The 14,440-nt window shown below is 39.5% G+C and overlaps 1 protein-coding gene across 23 annotated transcripts in view; it reads right to left on the bottom strand.

The window, feature by feature from the left end:
- The window catches only part of PATJ (PATJ crumbs cell polarity complex component), a 421,436-nt gene that overhangs the window by 274,852 nt on the left and 132,144 nt on the right, over positions 1-14,440 (bottom strand). For all 23 annotated transcript variants that reach the window (XR_007061928.1, XM_011540462.4, XM_011540467.4 and 20 more), the window contains 2 exons: positions 13,698-13,821; positions 4,656-4,827 (listed from right to left, as the gene is read on the bottom strand). Coding sequence is in view for 22 of the 23 variants with exons in the window: in XM_011540462.4 (XP_011538764.1) it covers positions 4,656-4,827; positions 13,698-13,821 (296 nt within the window). In the remaining variant the exon portion in view is untranslated. The remainder of the gene's footprint in view (positions 1-4,655; positions 4,828-13,697; positions 13,822-14,440) is intronic.

Genomic DNA, 14,440 nt, shown 5'->3' with positions numbered 1-14,440 from the left:
AATATTCACCTATGAACCTAACTCCATGGGGCATACCCTTAAAGATTAAAAGAAGGAATATGATTTACAAGAACTCTTCTGGAACCTGCTGGGATTTAAATATACCCTAAATCTCCAATAGCAAGCCAAAAAAACAACTTTCAAGTGCAAGGCTAATCTCCTAAGACAAGGTTAGGTTGGAGTCCTTAAATGCCTGTGCCTGCATAAGAAATCAGCTTGTCAAATACTCATTTTGAAAGAAAAAGCAATGGGATAAGAACAAAGTATATCTTCCCTCTCTGAAGCTGGGGTCAAATTGAGTAAGAACAACTGATGCTCCACTTTCTCTTCTGTCCAAGAAAGGAGGGGTGGACTTAGAAGTTTGCTTAGATCTTTTCTGATTCTTCACATTCTACAGTTACAATTCTACAGTTTAGAGAAGCAGTCTCATTTCTGCATTCTTCTGCCAGATTCAACTATTCACACTAAGCAAAAGAGAAATTTAAAAAACAATGGAAAAATAATTTGAACACTTTGGGAGGCTGAGGCAGGCAGATTGCTTAAGCCCAGGAGTTTCAGACCAGCCTGGCCAACATGGCGAGACACCATCTCTACGAAAAGAAAAAAAAAAAGTACAAAAATTAGCCATGCTTGGTGGCACATGCCTGCAGTCCCAGCTACTCAGGAGGCTGAGGTGGGAGGATGGTGTGAACCTGGGAAGCGGAGGTTGCAGTGAGCTGAGATGGTCCCACTGCACTCCAGCCTGGGCAACAGAGTAAGACCCTGTCTCAAAAATAAAAAGAAGAAAAAAATTTTGACTAAATAAAAAGCCATAAAATATGTTTCTAACTTCTCCACTTCCAGGCATCTGTCCTAAGGAAACAAATCCTTTGCTTATTTATCACTGTGCGTTTCCCCAGAGGCTGCACCGGATATCACATTAGGACACCGGGCCTGGCAGCACTCTCCCTCTGCATACCGGCCTGGCTTTTGCAGAGTAGAAAAGCTGTTGGGCCTTTCTGTATCTCTTCCTTCCACTCAGATATGGGCTATGCAGAAGCACAGAGAACTTTTGATGAAGTTTCTATCTAAAACTCTGGGTAAAATTTCAGGTTGCTGAACAGAGAAATGCACATCATCTAAATCTAAGATATCTCCCATGTCAACACAAAAATCACACTTGGATTAAGGTTTTAATAAAAATGTTTAAAGCCAATTAAGCCCACCCTATCTATCATCCCTGTTATGTTTTGCTGAAAGCTCCAACTCCTTTGTGCACTTCTTATCTCCCTACTCATAATGCCACACCTTTCTGGGTTTTCCTTCAAATGTGCTTCCTTTGTCACGCCGCACCCCAAGACCTGCCATGCACATCATCCATCATGCTGCATGGAATCTGCTAGAATTATAAACAAAACTATCCACACCCTGACCTCTTCACTGAATGTTCTCTGAACCTCCTCTTCAACAGCTCTGGTTCTCTGCCAAGTATACCACACTCAAGTGGGTGAAGCTCATTCTCTCACTCCCTGGGGCATTGGAAAAAGAGGGTAAATATTTTTCAAAACTCCCTACCACTAGGTGGTTACTCTCCTACCACTCTTTCAAAAGCTAATCTCTGCTCCAACACCTTTCCTTTTAATGCCTACTTTATTAGCACTTCATCACTCTTAGTAGTAAATAATCTTCTCCCGAAGTGACAGAAACAAACAAACATCATCATTGGACAAGAATCTCTTTGGATTCCTGCTCTCAAGCTATAAAAAGTACCTACATCCAGACCTTCCTTTCCTTCCTGGCACCTATCTTAGTGGAGGAGGTGAGCTTCCTCCTATCAAACTATCCAAGGTGATTCCAAGTGTGCAATGTTCTCTCCTCCCTCCACCATCTCCACAGACTATATTTAATCACCCCCTTTATGGCATCTGCATATTCCACAAGCAAAGAAAATTCTCTTCAGTTTGATATACATATGAATGTAGTAATATATAATATAAATGTTGTATGTCTTATATACATTATATATATACACATATATATATTTTCCCATTGCCTTGATACATTAATACCATCTAGTTATCTAAGTAACATGTATTTTTTTTTTGAGACAGGGTCTCGCTATGTCACCCAGGCTGGAGTGCAGTGGCACAATTATAGCTCATTGCTGCATCAACCTTCCAGCCTTAAACGGTCCTCCCACCTCAGCCTCCCTAGTAGCTGGGACTACGGGTGCATGCTATCACAACAGGCTAATTTTTTTTTTTTGAGATGGGGTCTTGCTCTGTTGCCCAGGCTGGAGTGCAGTGGCACGATCTCGGCTCACTGCAACCTCCACCTCCCAGGTTCAAGTGATTTTCCTGCCTCAGCCACCAGAGTAGCTGGGGTTACAGGTGCACACCACCATGCCTGGCTAATTTTTGTATTTTTAGTAGAGATGAGGTTTCACCATGTTGGCCAGGCTAGTCTCGAACTCCTGACCTCAGGTGATCTACCCACCTCAGCCTCCCAAAGTGCTGGGATTACAGGCATGAGCCACCAGGCCCAGCCCATGACCAGGATTTTCAAAACACTAGTCAGCTCTTTCTGTGTCCAATTTTTAACCTTGTGTTCAATTCTCAATACACAACTCTCTGAAATCTACTCTACTAACAATGTTCAATGCTTACCAAGGGCATCCATGTGGCCAAGCCCCGGGAAAACTTCTTTGTCTTATCTACATTGACCCTATTAGCATGTGAACATAGCCTGTGAGGACACTTTTGTTAAAATGTTCTCTTCCTTTGATTTCTAAGTCAATCTAGTTCACTCATTTTCTCCTACCTTTTGTTCATTCCAGCTCACTCCTTTCTTCCTCTGTTCATGCCTTAAGTATTGCTGTTTTCCAGGACTCCAATCTTTTTTTTTTTAATTATACTTTAAGTTTTAGGGTACATGTGCACAATGTGCAGTTTAGTTACATATGTATACATGTGCCATGCTGGTGTGCTGCACCCATTAACTCGTCATTTAGCATTAGGTATATCTCCTAATGCTATCACTCCCCCATCCCCCCACCCCACAACAGTCCCCAGAGTGTGATGTTCCTCTTCCTGTGTCCATGTGTTCTCATTGTTCAATTCCCATCTATGAGTGAGAACATGCAGTGTTTGGTTTTTTCTCCTTGCGATAGTTTACTGAGAACGATGATTTCCAATTTCATCCATGTCCCTACAAAGGACATGAACTCATCATTTTTTATGGCTGCATAATATTCCATGGTGTATATGTGTCACATTTTCTTAATCCAGTCTATCATTGTTGGACATTTGGGTTGGTTCCAAGTCTTTGCTATTGTGAATAGTGCCACAATAAACATATGTGTGCATGTGTCTTTATAGCAGCATGATTTATAGTCCTTTGGGTATATACCCAGTAATGGGATGGCTGGGTCAAATGGTATTTCTAGTTCTAGATCCCTGAGGAATCGCCACACTGACTTCCACAGTGGTTGAACTAGTTTATAGTCCCACCAACAGTGTAAAAGTGTTCCTATTTCTCCACATCCTCTCCAGCACCTGTTGTTTCCTGACTTTTGAATGATTGCCATTCTAACTGGTGTGAGATGGTATCTCATTGTGGTTTTGATTTGCATTTCTCTGATGGCCAGTGATGATGAGCATTTTTTCGTGTCTTTTGGCTGCATAAATGTCTTCTTTTGAGAAGTGTCTGTTCATATCCTTTGCCCACTTTTTGATGGGGTTGTTTGTGTTTTTCTTGTAAATTTGTTTGAGTTCATTGTAGATTCTGGATATTAGCCCTTTGTCAGATGAGTAGGTTGCGAAAATTTTCTCCCATTCTGTAGGTTGCCTGTTCACTCTGATGGTAGTTTCTTTTGCTGTGCAGAAGCTCTTTAGTTTAATTAGATCCCATTTGTCAATTTTGGCTTTTGTTGCCATTGCTTTTGGTGTTTTAGACATGAAGTCCTTGCCCATGCCTATGCCAGGACTCCAATCTTGACCCTATGCTTGCCTTATTGTTTAAGCTTCGTGTTGATGACCATTCAAATCCAAGAGTTTCACCTACGCTTAATCTTGCTCCCAATTACCCATGTCCAGACAGACCTCAACATTAATTCCCAGACCCACATATCTAATTGATTACATTTAACTTTGTTGTTCTATGGCTACTTTAACCATCAACATGTTCCAAACTGAACTCATCATTTTCCCTTCCAACCTGTTCATGCTCCTATAATATTATATTGAAGCACTAATTTCTCATATCTATCTAGTTTCCTAGTCCAAAAACACAAGTCATCCTCAACTACCCCCTTTTACACTCAACATGTAATGAGTCAAGGGATTCCTGTAGATTTCCTCACTCTTAAATTGGTCTTCTTTTAATTTGTCCTCAAGTGCATCTGCTTGAGTTGTTAAACTCTGAATTAACCTCCCATTCTCTAAGCAGATACTCTAATCCATTTTGTGCACCACTGCAAGATACAAAATTGTACATATGGCAAAATTTTAAGTATATGAAATTCTCATAGTAATTGTCAAATATAGTGGATTTTATTCATAATATTTTTCTGTATTTTCCAAACGTTCTACCAAAATCACGCATTTTTTAAGCAAAAAAAAAAAAAAAAAAAAAACCACTATTTTATAATGTGAAAACAAAGAGAAATGATATCATACCATGTATCAGTGGCATATCTAGAAGACAACATTCCTGTGTATGCTGAGGCCTTGGAAATAACTCGTGTCGCTTGGTGTTGATATAAAGGCAAATCTTCTTGCTCCCTCCTTTGAGCCACAACAGGAAGGTCAATGAGCAAGCTAGGACCTTGGACATCATTCGGGATCATGCCTGAAGAGCAAATCCAGATGACAGTGAACACAAGAGGCACTCATTCTCCTTTAGTCATTCAACAACTAGGTATGGGCACCTACTATGGGAGGGGACTCTTCCAGGTAGGAGACTGAAAATATTAAAGTAAATAAATAAAGGCTTTAATATATCAGATGATGATAGGTACAATGGTGAAAAATAAAGAAGGAAGGAATATAGGAATTGTTCAACAGAAGTCGGTTACAATTTTCAGTGGCCTCACTAAAAAAAAATGGCATTTATGCAATATTAATATTACTAAAAAATCTAATCTTACTACACATTTTCTCTTATCAACTTAAGCTTTCCTAATAAGTACTCTGACATTTCACTGATTTAAAAAAAAAAAAAACCTCCACAGAATAACAAATAAACCATATTAAATCACTTCTATTTTTAAAAGGGTTTTGTTTATAAATTTCAGAATTCTTTTACATTCTTTTTTTTTTTTTTTTTTTAAGAGACGGAGTCTCTCTCTGTTGCCCAGGCTGGAGTGCAGTCGTGTGATCTTGACTCACTGCAACCTCCGCCTCCCGGATTCATACAGTTCTCCCTGCCCCAGCCTCCTGAGTAGCTGGGACTACAGGTGTTGTGTTGCATGCAAAAATACAATAATTTTTGTATTTTTAGTAGAGACAGGGTTTTGTCATGTTGGCCAGGCTGGTCTCGAACTCCTGACCTCAGGTGATCCACCTGCCTCAGCCTTCCAAAGTGCTGAGATTACAGGCGTGAGCTGCCACACCTGGCCTATACTTGTTCATTTAATTCTCACATCAAACTATGAGTTAGAAAGAAAAGACACTATCAACCATATTTTATAGATAGGAAAACTGAGGTTAAGAAATTTTGCCAATTTTTTACCAGCAGGTAAAGGGTACAGATTGCCATAATTTATTTAAATATTTACAACAAACTTCCTAGCAATTAATTTTGATTTCTATTTAGAAAGGTTCACATAATAAGCTTGAGAAGTATGGTGGGGACAACATTTTTGGACTTTACTTCTTATGTTCTTCCTAGTTGTCGGTAGCATATTATACAATTATCATGTTAAGAAATTAAAGGCTAGTATTTTCTCCTTATATTTGCCCAAATAAACTAAAGAAAGCTCCTTTAGTCTCACCACAATAGATCATATGTTGAAACATGTATATATAGTAAGCACAGTATAACTATCATATATAGACATGTGTGTGGGTATGTCCACATATATTGTCTATACACATCCTCACACACACACTATAAAAAGATAATGCATAAGGTATAATATATAGGATTCAACACCATGGTTATCTATGGAGAGGAATTTAAGCTGTGTTATAATGGTTTATTGTTTAAAAGCAGAATATTGGCCAGGCGCAGGTGCTCATGCCTGTAGATCCAGCACTCTGGGAGACTGAGGCAGATGGACTCCTTGAGCCCCAAGAATTCAAGACCAGCTTGGGCAACATGGTGAAACTCCATTAGCCAGGCTTGGTGGAGCACGCCTGTAATCTCAACTACTCGGAAGGCTGAGGCAGGAGGATCACTAGAGTCGGTGAGGATGATCACAGTGAGGAGTGATGTCACCACTGTACTCTAGCCTGGGCAACAGAGTGAGACCTTGTATCAAAAACAAAAACAAAAGGAAAAAGAAACCCAGAAGATTTGGGGTTGAGGGAGAAAGCTGAGATGACCCAGTTATGAGGGTAGACAGGTAGCGTTTCATACAAACTGGAAAAATTTGGAAGACTATAAACCAAATCGCGATTACCTCTGCAGACAATTTCTTATTTCTACTTTTTGTTTATCTGCATTATCTTATTTATCCTCTAGGAACACACTTAATTGTTTTTTGTCACCTAGCAAATAACCTCCTTAAGAACTTTGCATTTCTTATTCTCTCAGCCATATCCCAAATGTTTTCACACAGGGCTGGCTTACTTTACTCACGTGTCAGTCAAATGTTACCCTATGAAAACAGTCAGCCTGACCACTCCATATAAAATAGGCCTCCTCCTCAAACATTCTCTATTTCTTTTTACTGCTTTATTTTCCCTCATGAACCCTATCATATTATACATTAATTTGTTATTGTCTGCCCCCACCAGAATGTGGGCCGACTTTATTTTGTTCACTGCTCCACTCTCATGACCCCCAGAGCAGCACTCTTATACAGAAAGCACTAGCAAATATTTCTGAACAAGTAAATATGGTACTTGCTTAATACACCAACCAACAATGAGTTTTTAAGTTTAAAAAATATGAGTATACTGTTTTCCGAAGTAGAAAAACAAAGAAATCTACAGCTAATGTTATGGTTAGAATGGAAGTCGCATCTATTGTGCATCCCACGGTCCATTCTACGGAACAAGTGTATCTTTGATAATCTCGTAAAGGAGCTTTGAGACTTCTGATTAAACATCTTCAGTGATTTGGGAATGCCATTTATTCAAATTATATAAATGGGAGGCCTAAAATAATTGTGCTTAATCAAACAAGGTAAATGGAGAGCCTAAAGAGCGGGCTGGGTGCGGTAGCTCACACCTGTAATCCCAGCACTTTGGAAGGCCAAGGTGGGTGGATCACCTGAGGTCAGGAGTTCGAGACCAGCCTGGACAACATGGCAAAATCCCGTCTCTACTAAAAATACAAAAATTAGCCAGGCGTGGTGGCACACACCTGTAATCCCAGCTACTCAGGTGGCTGAGGCACGAGAATCTCTTGAACCTGGGAGGCGGAGGTTGCACAGAGCCGACATCATGCCACTGCACTTCCAGCCTGAGTGACAGAGCAAGACTCTGTCTCAAAAAAAAAAAAAAAAAAAAATAACTGTTTTAACTGTGGTTCATGGATCCTGGGAAGCTGCCCCCATAGGCCCCAGGATAAGGCTTCTGAGCATACAGGTCAAATTCAGGGTCCTTCCCAGCACACAAAGTCCCCACAGCTGGGCTCTCCTGAATGTCTCCGCTACCTGCCTTATGTATTCTTCACTCTGCACTGAGCTGTTTTGCTAAACTCTTGCAAACATGATGCTTTTCTCTGTCTGTAATTCTAGAAAATAGAGAACAACAAATAGTGCCTTAGGTTTCCCAATGCATTGCACAGTACCTTGTAGATAGATTTTATTTTATTTTATTTTTGAGACAAGGTCTCGCTTGGTCACCCAGGCTGGAGTGCAGTGGTGCAATCTTGACTCACTGCAACCTCCGCCTCCCAGGTTCAAGCGATTCTCCTGCCTCAGGCACCTGAGTAGCTGAGATTACAGGTGTGTGCCACCATGCCCGGCTAATTTTTGTATTTTTAGTAGAGACAGGGTTTTGTCATGTTGGCCAGGCTGGTCTTGAACTCCTGACCTCAAGTGATCTGCCCGCCTTGGCCTCCCAAAGTGTTGGGATTACAGGCATGAGCCACCGTGCTGGCCAAAACAGTTTTTCCTGCAATGTATTTCTTTGAACACTGTGTTCTTGGAAGAAAAAATATTTAAAATATCACACATTATGTGATTAAAGTATGACTGAAAGCTCAAACACGTGTAAGATGATAAAATACTATTGTACTGGGTTGAGTAATAATAACATAGCTTTTATCCAAATGATAAGAAATCAAGTGTATGCTCTTATCAAGATTGTGGACATCTATTTTTTGGTTTGCATACCTTCTACGGATTTAAAAAATATCTGGTAGAGCTTAACCTAGAAAATGTAACAAAGAAAAAAAGTTCTAATGCACCTTCTATATTTTGTTTTGTTTCCCATCAAATAAATGTGAGAAGACACAAAACCTTAAGTATTTTACTTCTTTGGCTAATGGGGGAAGAAGCTGAAGCTACAAAAATACCTTTAAGTGTATCCAACATTCTGTGGCTGTTCTTCATTCACGCATTCACAAATTCACTTAACAAATGTTTATAGAGCACCCACTACTTGCCAGGAACTATTCTAGGCATTAGAGATAGCTAAGTGTACAAAACTGACAAAGTTCCTATTCTTGGGAGCTAGCATTCTAGTGGAGAGAGATACAGAATGAACACAGCATGATTTCAGGATATGGTAAGGTCTAAGAAGGAAAATAAGGCAACAGGTAGGAACAGAAAGAAACAGGTGAGTAGCTGGTCGGGTGTGGTGGCTCACGCCTGCAATCCCAGCACTTTGGGAGGCTGAGGCGGGTGGATCACTTGAGACCAGCCTGGCCAGCATGATGAAACCCCATCTCTACTAAAAATACAAAATTAGCCAGGTGTGGTGGCGTGTGCCTGTAATCCCAGCTACTCAGGAGGCTGAGGCAGGAGAATAGCTTGAACTCAGGAGGTGGAGGTTGCAGTGTGCCAAGATCACACCACTGCACTCCAGCCTGGGTGACAGAGTGAGACTCTATCTAAAAAGAAAAAGAAAAAAAAAAAATAGATGGAGTAGTCAAAAACCTGGATGGTGATAGGGAATCAGTCCCATAAAAATCTGCAATACCATTCTAGGTAGGAGGAACACCAAAAGGAGGAGGCTTGATGAAAAAGAGGGAATTTTACCAATATTTTGATTTGCCACTACAAAAAGCACTGTTGCTTAGCAATATACCAAGCAAAAGAATGGGACCCAGAAGTAGCTGGGCTCCAGAAAAAAAAAAAAGGAAAAATTCTAAAACCCTAAGTCCTGTGAGCCTTATTTTTTCTTCTCACCATACCGGAGAACTCTGCAATGATAGGAAAACCAAATTACAAACAACATCTCTCCCATCTTAGAAGTGGGCAGTTAGGTTTTGGGTCCAAACAGCACAGCTTCAAACTTTTCTTCTTTTTAAATATTTTATCTTATTTGATGGAGGCCTTCATTCTAGATCGTCAGGGTCACTTTGGATCTTAGTTCTGTCATCCAACATACTGACAATCCTTCCCAATTTCCTGGAATGTGTGAATTCATCCAATATGCCATCTGTGCCATTACCCCATTTCCCGAGAAAAAGAATAACCAAGGCAACTTGTGCATAGAGTCCTATGGCCTATGTTAGAGACCTGTACTTATGCAGGCATAAACCCATTAATCACTCATAGGATATACCCCAGTAATTCATTATAAATTATCAGCCAATTGTTTTTATCATGTTTATAAGAATATGATGAATTGTGCATCAAATGTCTTCCTTAAGTCCATAAATTTGGCCAGGTGCGGTGGCTCACGCCTGTAATCCCAACACTTTGGGAGGCCAAGGTGGGCGGATCATGAGGTCAGGAGTTCAAGACCAGCCTGGCCAACATGGTGAAACCCCATCTCTACTAAAAATACAAAAAAATTAGCCGGGTGTGGTGGCACACGCCTGTAATCCCAGCTACTCAGGAGGCTGAGGCAGGAGAATCACTTGAACCTGGGAGGAGGAAGTTGTAGTGAGCCGAGATTGTGCCACTGCACTCCAGCATGGGTGACACAGTGAGACTCCGTCTCAAAAAAAAAAAAAATCCATAAGTTCATAGTATATTTGGGGTACTTGCCTTAGTAGAAAATCATAAATGACCTCTGACTAAGCAATGTAGATACTCTTTTAAAACTTTTTTTTTTTTTTTAAATAGAGATGGGGTCTCCCTATGTTGCCCAGGCTGGTCTCGAACTCCTGGACTCAAGTGATCCTCCTGCCTTGGCCTCCCAAAGTGCTAGAATTGCAGGTGTGAGCCACCACACCCAGCCTAAAACTTTTCCTATAATCATCACTGAAACTCTTTCCATGCATTCATCTTGAACAAATTTTCTGGTAAACTCACTACCACTTCTGCTTTTTATTTCATCTAGAAACTTTGGAATCAGGGTCCAATCAGTTGGCAATGTTGCAGATATGGGGTGAAAATACTGTCATGCTCAGGTGGGATTAACGGAAGTCTCAGTTACCTTTCCCCCATCCCCATACTCCCCTTTGCTCCCATCCTTGAGGGCCTCCATTCCCATATGACAATCAAAGCACTGCCCCACTGTTCCAGCTTTGCTGATGTCTGCCTCCCCCTCACTGAGGACACTGAGGAGGAAGGACCAGGGCAGGACTGGTGCTCAGGCAGGAATGGCTTAAAACCAGAGTTTTCAGAACAGGAAACTGGTTCTCTATGTCCCATCCAGCTACACTGGAAAAAGCAGTCTGTTAAACTACACCACTAAGTTGCATAGGTTGGTGCAGTTTAAAACTTCATGAATTGCTCCACACAAAGGCTACCTGTGCCCTCTGCCCCACTGCCTCCTCCATGGACCCTGTCAGTGCACAGGCACACATTTCTAACCTGTCACAGCGCTTCACGCAGTTACACTTTACAGAGCTGTCCACCAAGTGCACAGAGAAACCCAGGAGCCCATGAAAAAGATTGAGTCCTGTAGGGCCTCTGTAATCAGGTAATGGTCATAACAGGGGTACAGAGGTTAGAAAAACAGGGAGATTTTTAAAAAATAAATGCTCTAGGATTTAAGTTGTATTAATCCACTCTCACACTGCCATAAAGAACTACCGGAGACTGGGTAATTTATAAAGAAAACATGTTTAATTGACTCACAGTTCCACAGGCTGTACGAGAGGCATGGCTAGGAAGGCCTCAGGAAACTTACAATCATGGCAGAAGAGTGAAGGGGAAGCACGCATGTCTTCATATGGCAGTAGGAGAGAAAGCATGCGCAAAGGGGGAAGTGCCACACACTTTTAAACCATCAGATCTCTTGAAAATTCACTCACTATCATGAGAACAGATGGAGGAAATCTGCTCTCATGATAAAATCACCTCCTACCAAGTCCCTTCCCCAATACTAGGAATTATGATTCAACATGAGATTTGAGTGGGGACACAGAGCCAAACCATATCAGAAGTTAATGCTTATAGGAGAGGAATGGAGGAAATTTTCTAAAGGTCTACATTTGATGAGATGCAAGAATGGAATAACAAAATAAAGGCAAGCAGAATCCAAAGTAGAGAAGAGATCGGGTTACTATACAACTTAGCAACTGAAAAAAAAAAAAGTAATGAACTGATATGCTGTTGAATAACCACGTGAGCAGTACATCATTTCCTCATTCAGTAAATATTTCTTGAGCACCTACTATGTGAATATAATCAGATACAGTCCTCACCCTCCTGAAGCTTAGTGTGTAGTTAAGAGACAGGCCTGCAAGTAAGCATGTGCACTGAGTCTTGACAATAACACAAAATCAATTTGGATTTGCAAATGGCACAACCCAGTCTTCGAGCAAAGCCTGGGAAACAGAACTGCCTTCTGTCTGAAATCTTCCAAAATCTTGTAACACTAAGTGTATTACTCAATGCAATAATGTCAATAATTACATTATTAATTATGCAAATTTAAATGCTTAGTTTTATAACCCATGAAGAGTATATGCTTTTCAAAGATACACAATTTTGGATTAACCAAAAGGTCAAGAATATCTCTTTACACAGGGGTTCTCAACAATGATTTCTAAATTCATTGTTCTGCAGATAAATCTAAGATTGCCTCTTATTCCACTGCTCCTCCACCCAAACACCAGCCCATATAGCTAGTCTATTTCTTTTGATCTTGACAGTATAAACCAGTGGTTTATACAGTATACATGTGGCCACATCTGGAGACATTTTGATTTTCATCATTACTGGGAGAGGGTGTGCCACTGGCATCTAGGGTTAGAAGACAGGGACGCTGCTAAGCATCCTACAATGCACAGGATACCCCACCCCCACCAAAAGACTCATCTGGTCCAAAATCGTGCTAAGTTTGCTACAGTATTAATAGTAATGAAACAGATATGGTCTATTTATTCATTTACTCAAACATTTGTGCTATAAATCTTCTCCAACTATTTAATAGAGAACTATAAGAAATGTGGTGAATTTTAGAAAGCAATATACCTGGAGAGTTTTATTTTGGGAAGTCCCATTTTTCTTCTAGTCATGATCTTGAAAACTTGGGTAGATTCATCTAATCTTAGATATTTAAAATTAAGTATTCATACTCTGTCTTTTTTTTTCCATGCTCTGTTTTGACCCACAGGAAACTGTATGTTATCATCTCAGAGACGCCTTCAATTTTTACCCTTAAGTATTCCATTTTTTAGAATTTACTTAATAGAATCCTAATCTCATATAAAACTGTTACATCACTTTCTACAGCCCTCTCTCCCCTTACAACATATTACTATACAACACAGAGAAAGACTTTTAAGTAGTCATAACAAGTGAAGGACAGCATAAATCCTCAACAATGGCTCTATAAATCCCAGTGCTATGAAAGCATTTAACAATCTCCCTAGGGATGTCAATTTTATAATGACATTCAATATTTTAGTGTTAGATGAAGAAAAATTCTTTTTTAAAGTCAACTTTTCAAACATATATAAGAATCGATATTGAGGGGCAGCAGGGAGAGGCACTATACTTTTAGAATTCTTTAATGGAAACTAAGTTATTAATGTACTAAAATTGACTGTAATATATGGCTATAAAAATGTTTCATAAATGTTTAAAATATGCCTCTCTTTATTAATATTTAACAGTCCCATTAAATGAGCTAGCAATATTACTTAAGAGCATCAGAGATTTTAATATATATTAGTAGAGACTTATTTCAGATTTGGTGTAAGGTTCTAGTCTGAGTTTCAATCCATACTGCTAATAAAATGCAACATGAGGCAGAGAAAATGTAGCCTTCTCAAAAAACAGAATCTGAAAACTCTAAGTTGAAATCTGAGGCATGTTTATTCTTTCAGGTAATTCTGAAGCAGATTAATTATTAAGCAGACATAAATTCAAAGCATCATAATGAATAAAAATATGACGGTGAAATTCATGTATACAAACATAAAACTGAAAGCTTGCAAAATAATGTAATTTGTGTTTATGAGAAACAAAAGTCACAAACCTAAATCCAGACTAGTTTTTGCTAATGAATTAAGATTTTCCAGGTCGTCAAATCTGCCTTGTTGACTGTTTCCTTCAGTTGATGGTACAGATGGTAGGGACTCCATGACAAAATTTTCTTTCATCTTGAGAGGAAGAAAAATAGAAATGCATTAGTACTTTATGAAAAAAATGTATTACTGTACAGTTGATCAAGCCAAGTAATAATGATAGTGGAAAACTGGCCTTGCAAACAGGCATTCTCAAGTAATGGTTTATACTGTGGTAAGCAGTAACAAATGCTGGTAACAATATCTGCAAGAGTATAGGCTAACAAAATCTGTTTATTCTAAAACTTGGATTTTTAACCAAAAAAACTGTTTTATAAGCATTAATAAGTGGATTTAAATAAACATTTACCAAGGTAGAGGAATAAAAGATCTATCAAGTCAAGCAAGGTCAACTGCTGATACACACAGCCTCCTGGATTGTGTTGCTCTGATATCTACAAATAAATAGCTTCCTTGCTGACTCCAAAATATGTGATAAATTTTCATATCTATAAGCGTTTGTTAGCACTCTTATCTGCCTGGTGAATACCTAAGTTATCAAACCTAAAACCTAAAACCTACAGATAAGTGCTGTTGATAACTTAACTGCATTTTCCTCCCATCTTGCTTTTATATACATGTTTTTTATGGTTTTCCAAAGTCACAATCTTCCAGAATGCTAAAATATTTATGTTTCCCCTGACCCTGCAAATTC

Source organism: Homo sapiens, chromosome 1 (assembly GCF_000001405.40).
Source record: "Homo sapiens chromosome 1, GRCh38.p14 Primary Assembly".
Classification (NCBI taxonomy): Eukaryota; Metazoa; Chordata; class Mammalia; order Primates; family Hominidae; genus Homo; species Homo sapiens.
Note: the sequence above shows the minus strand (reverse complement) of the source record. Positions and strands in the feature narration are given on the sequence as shown.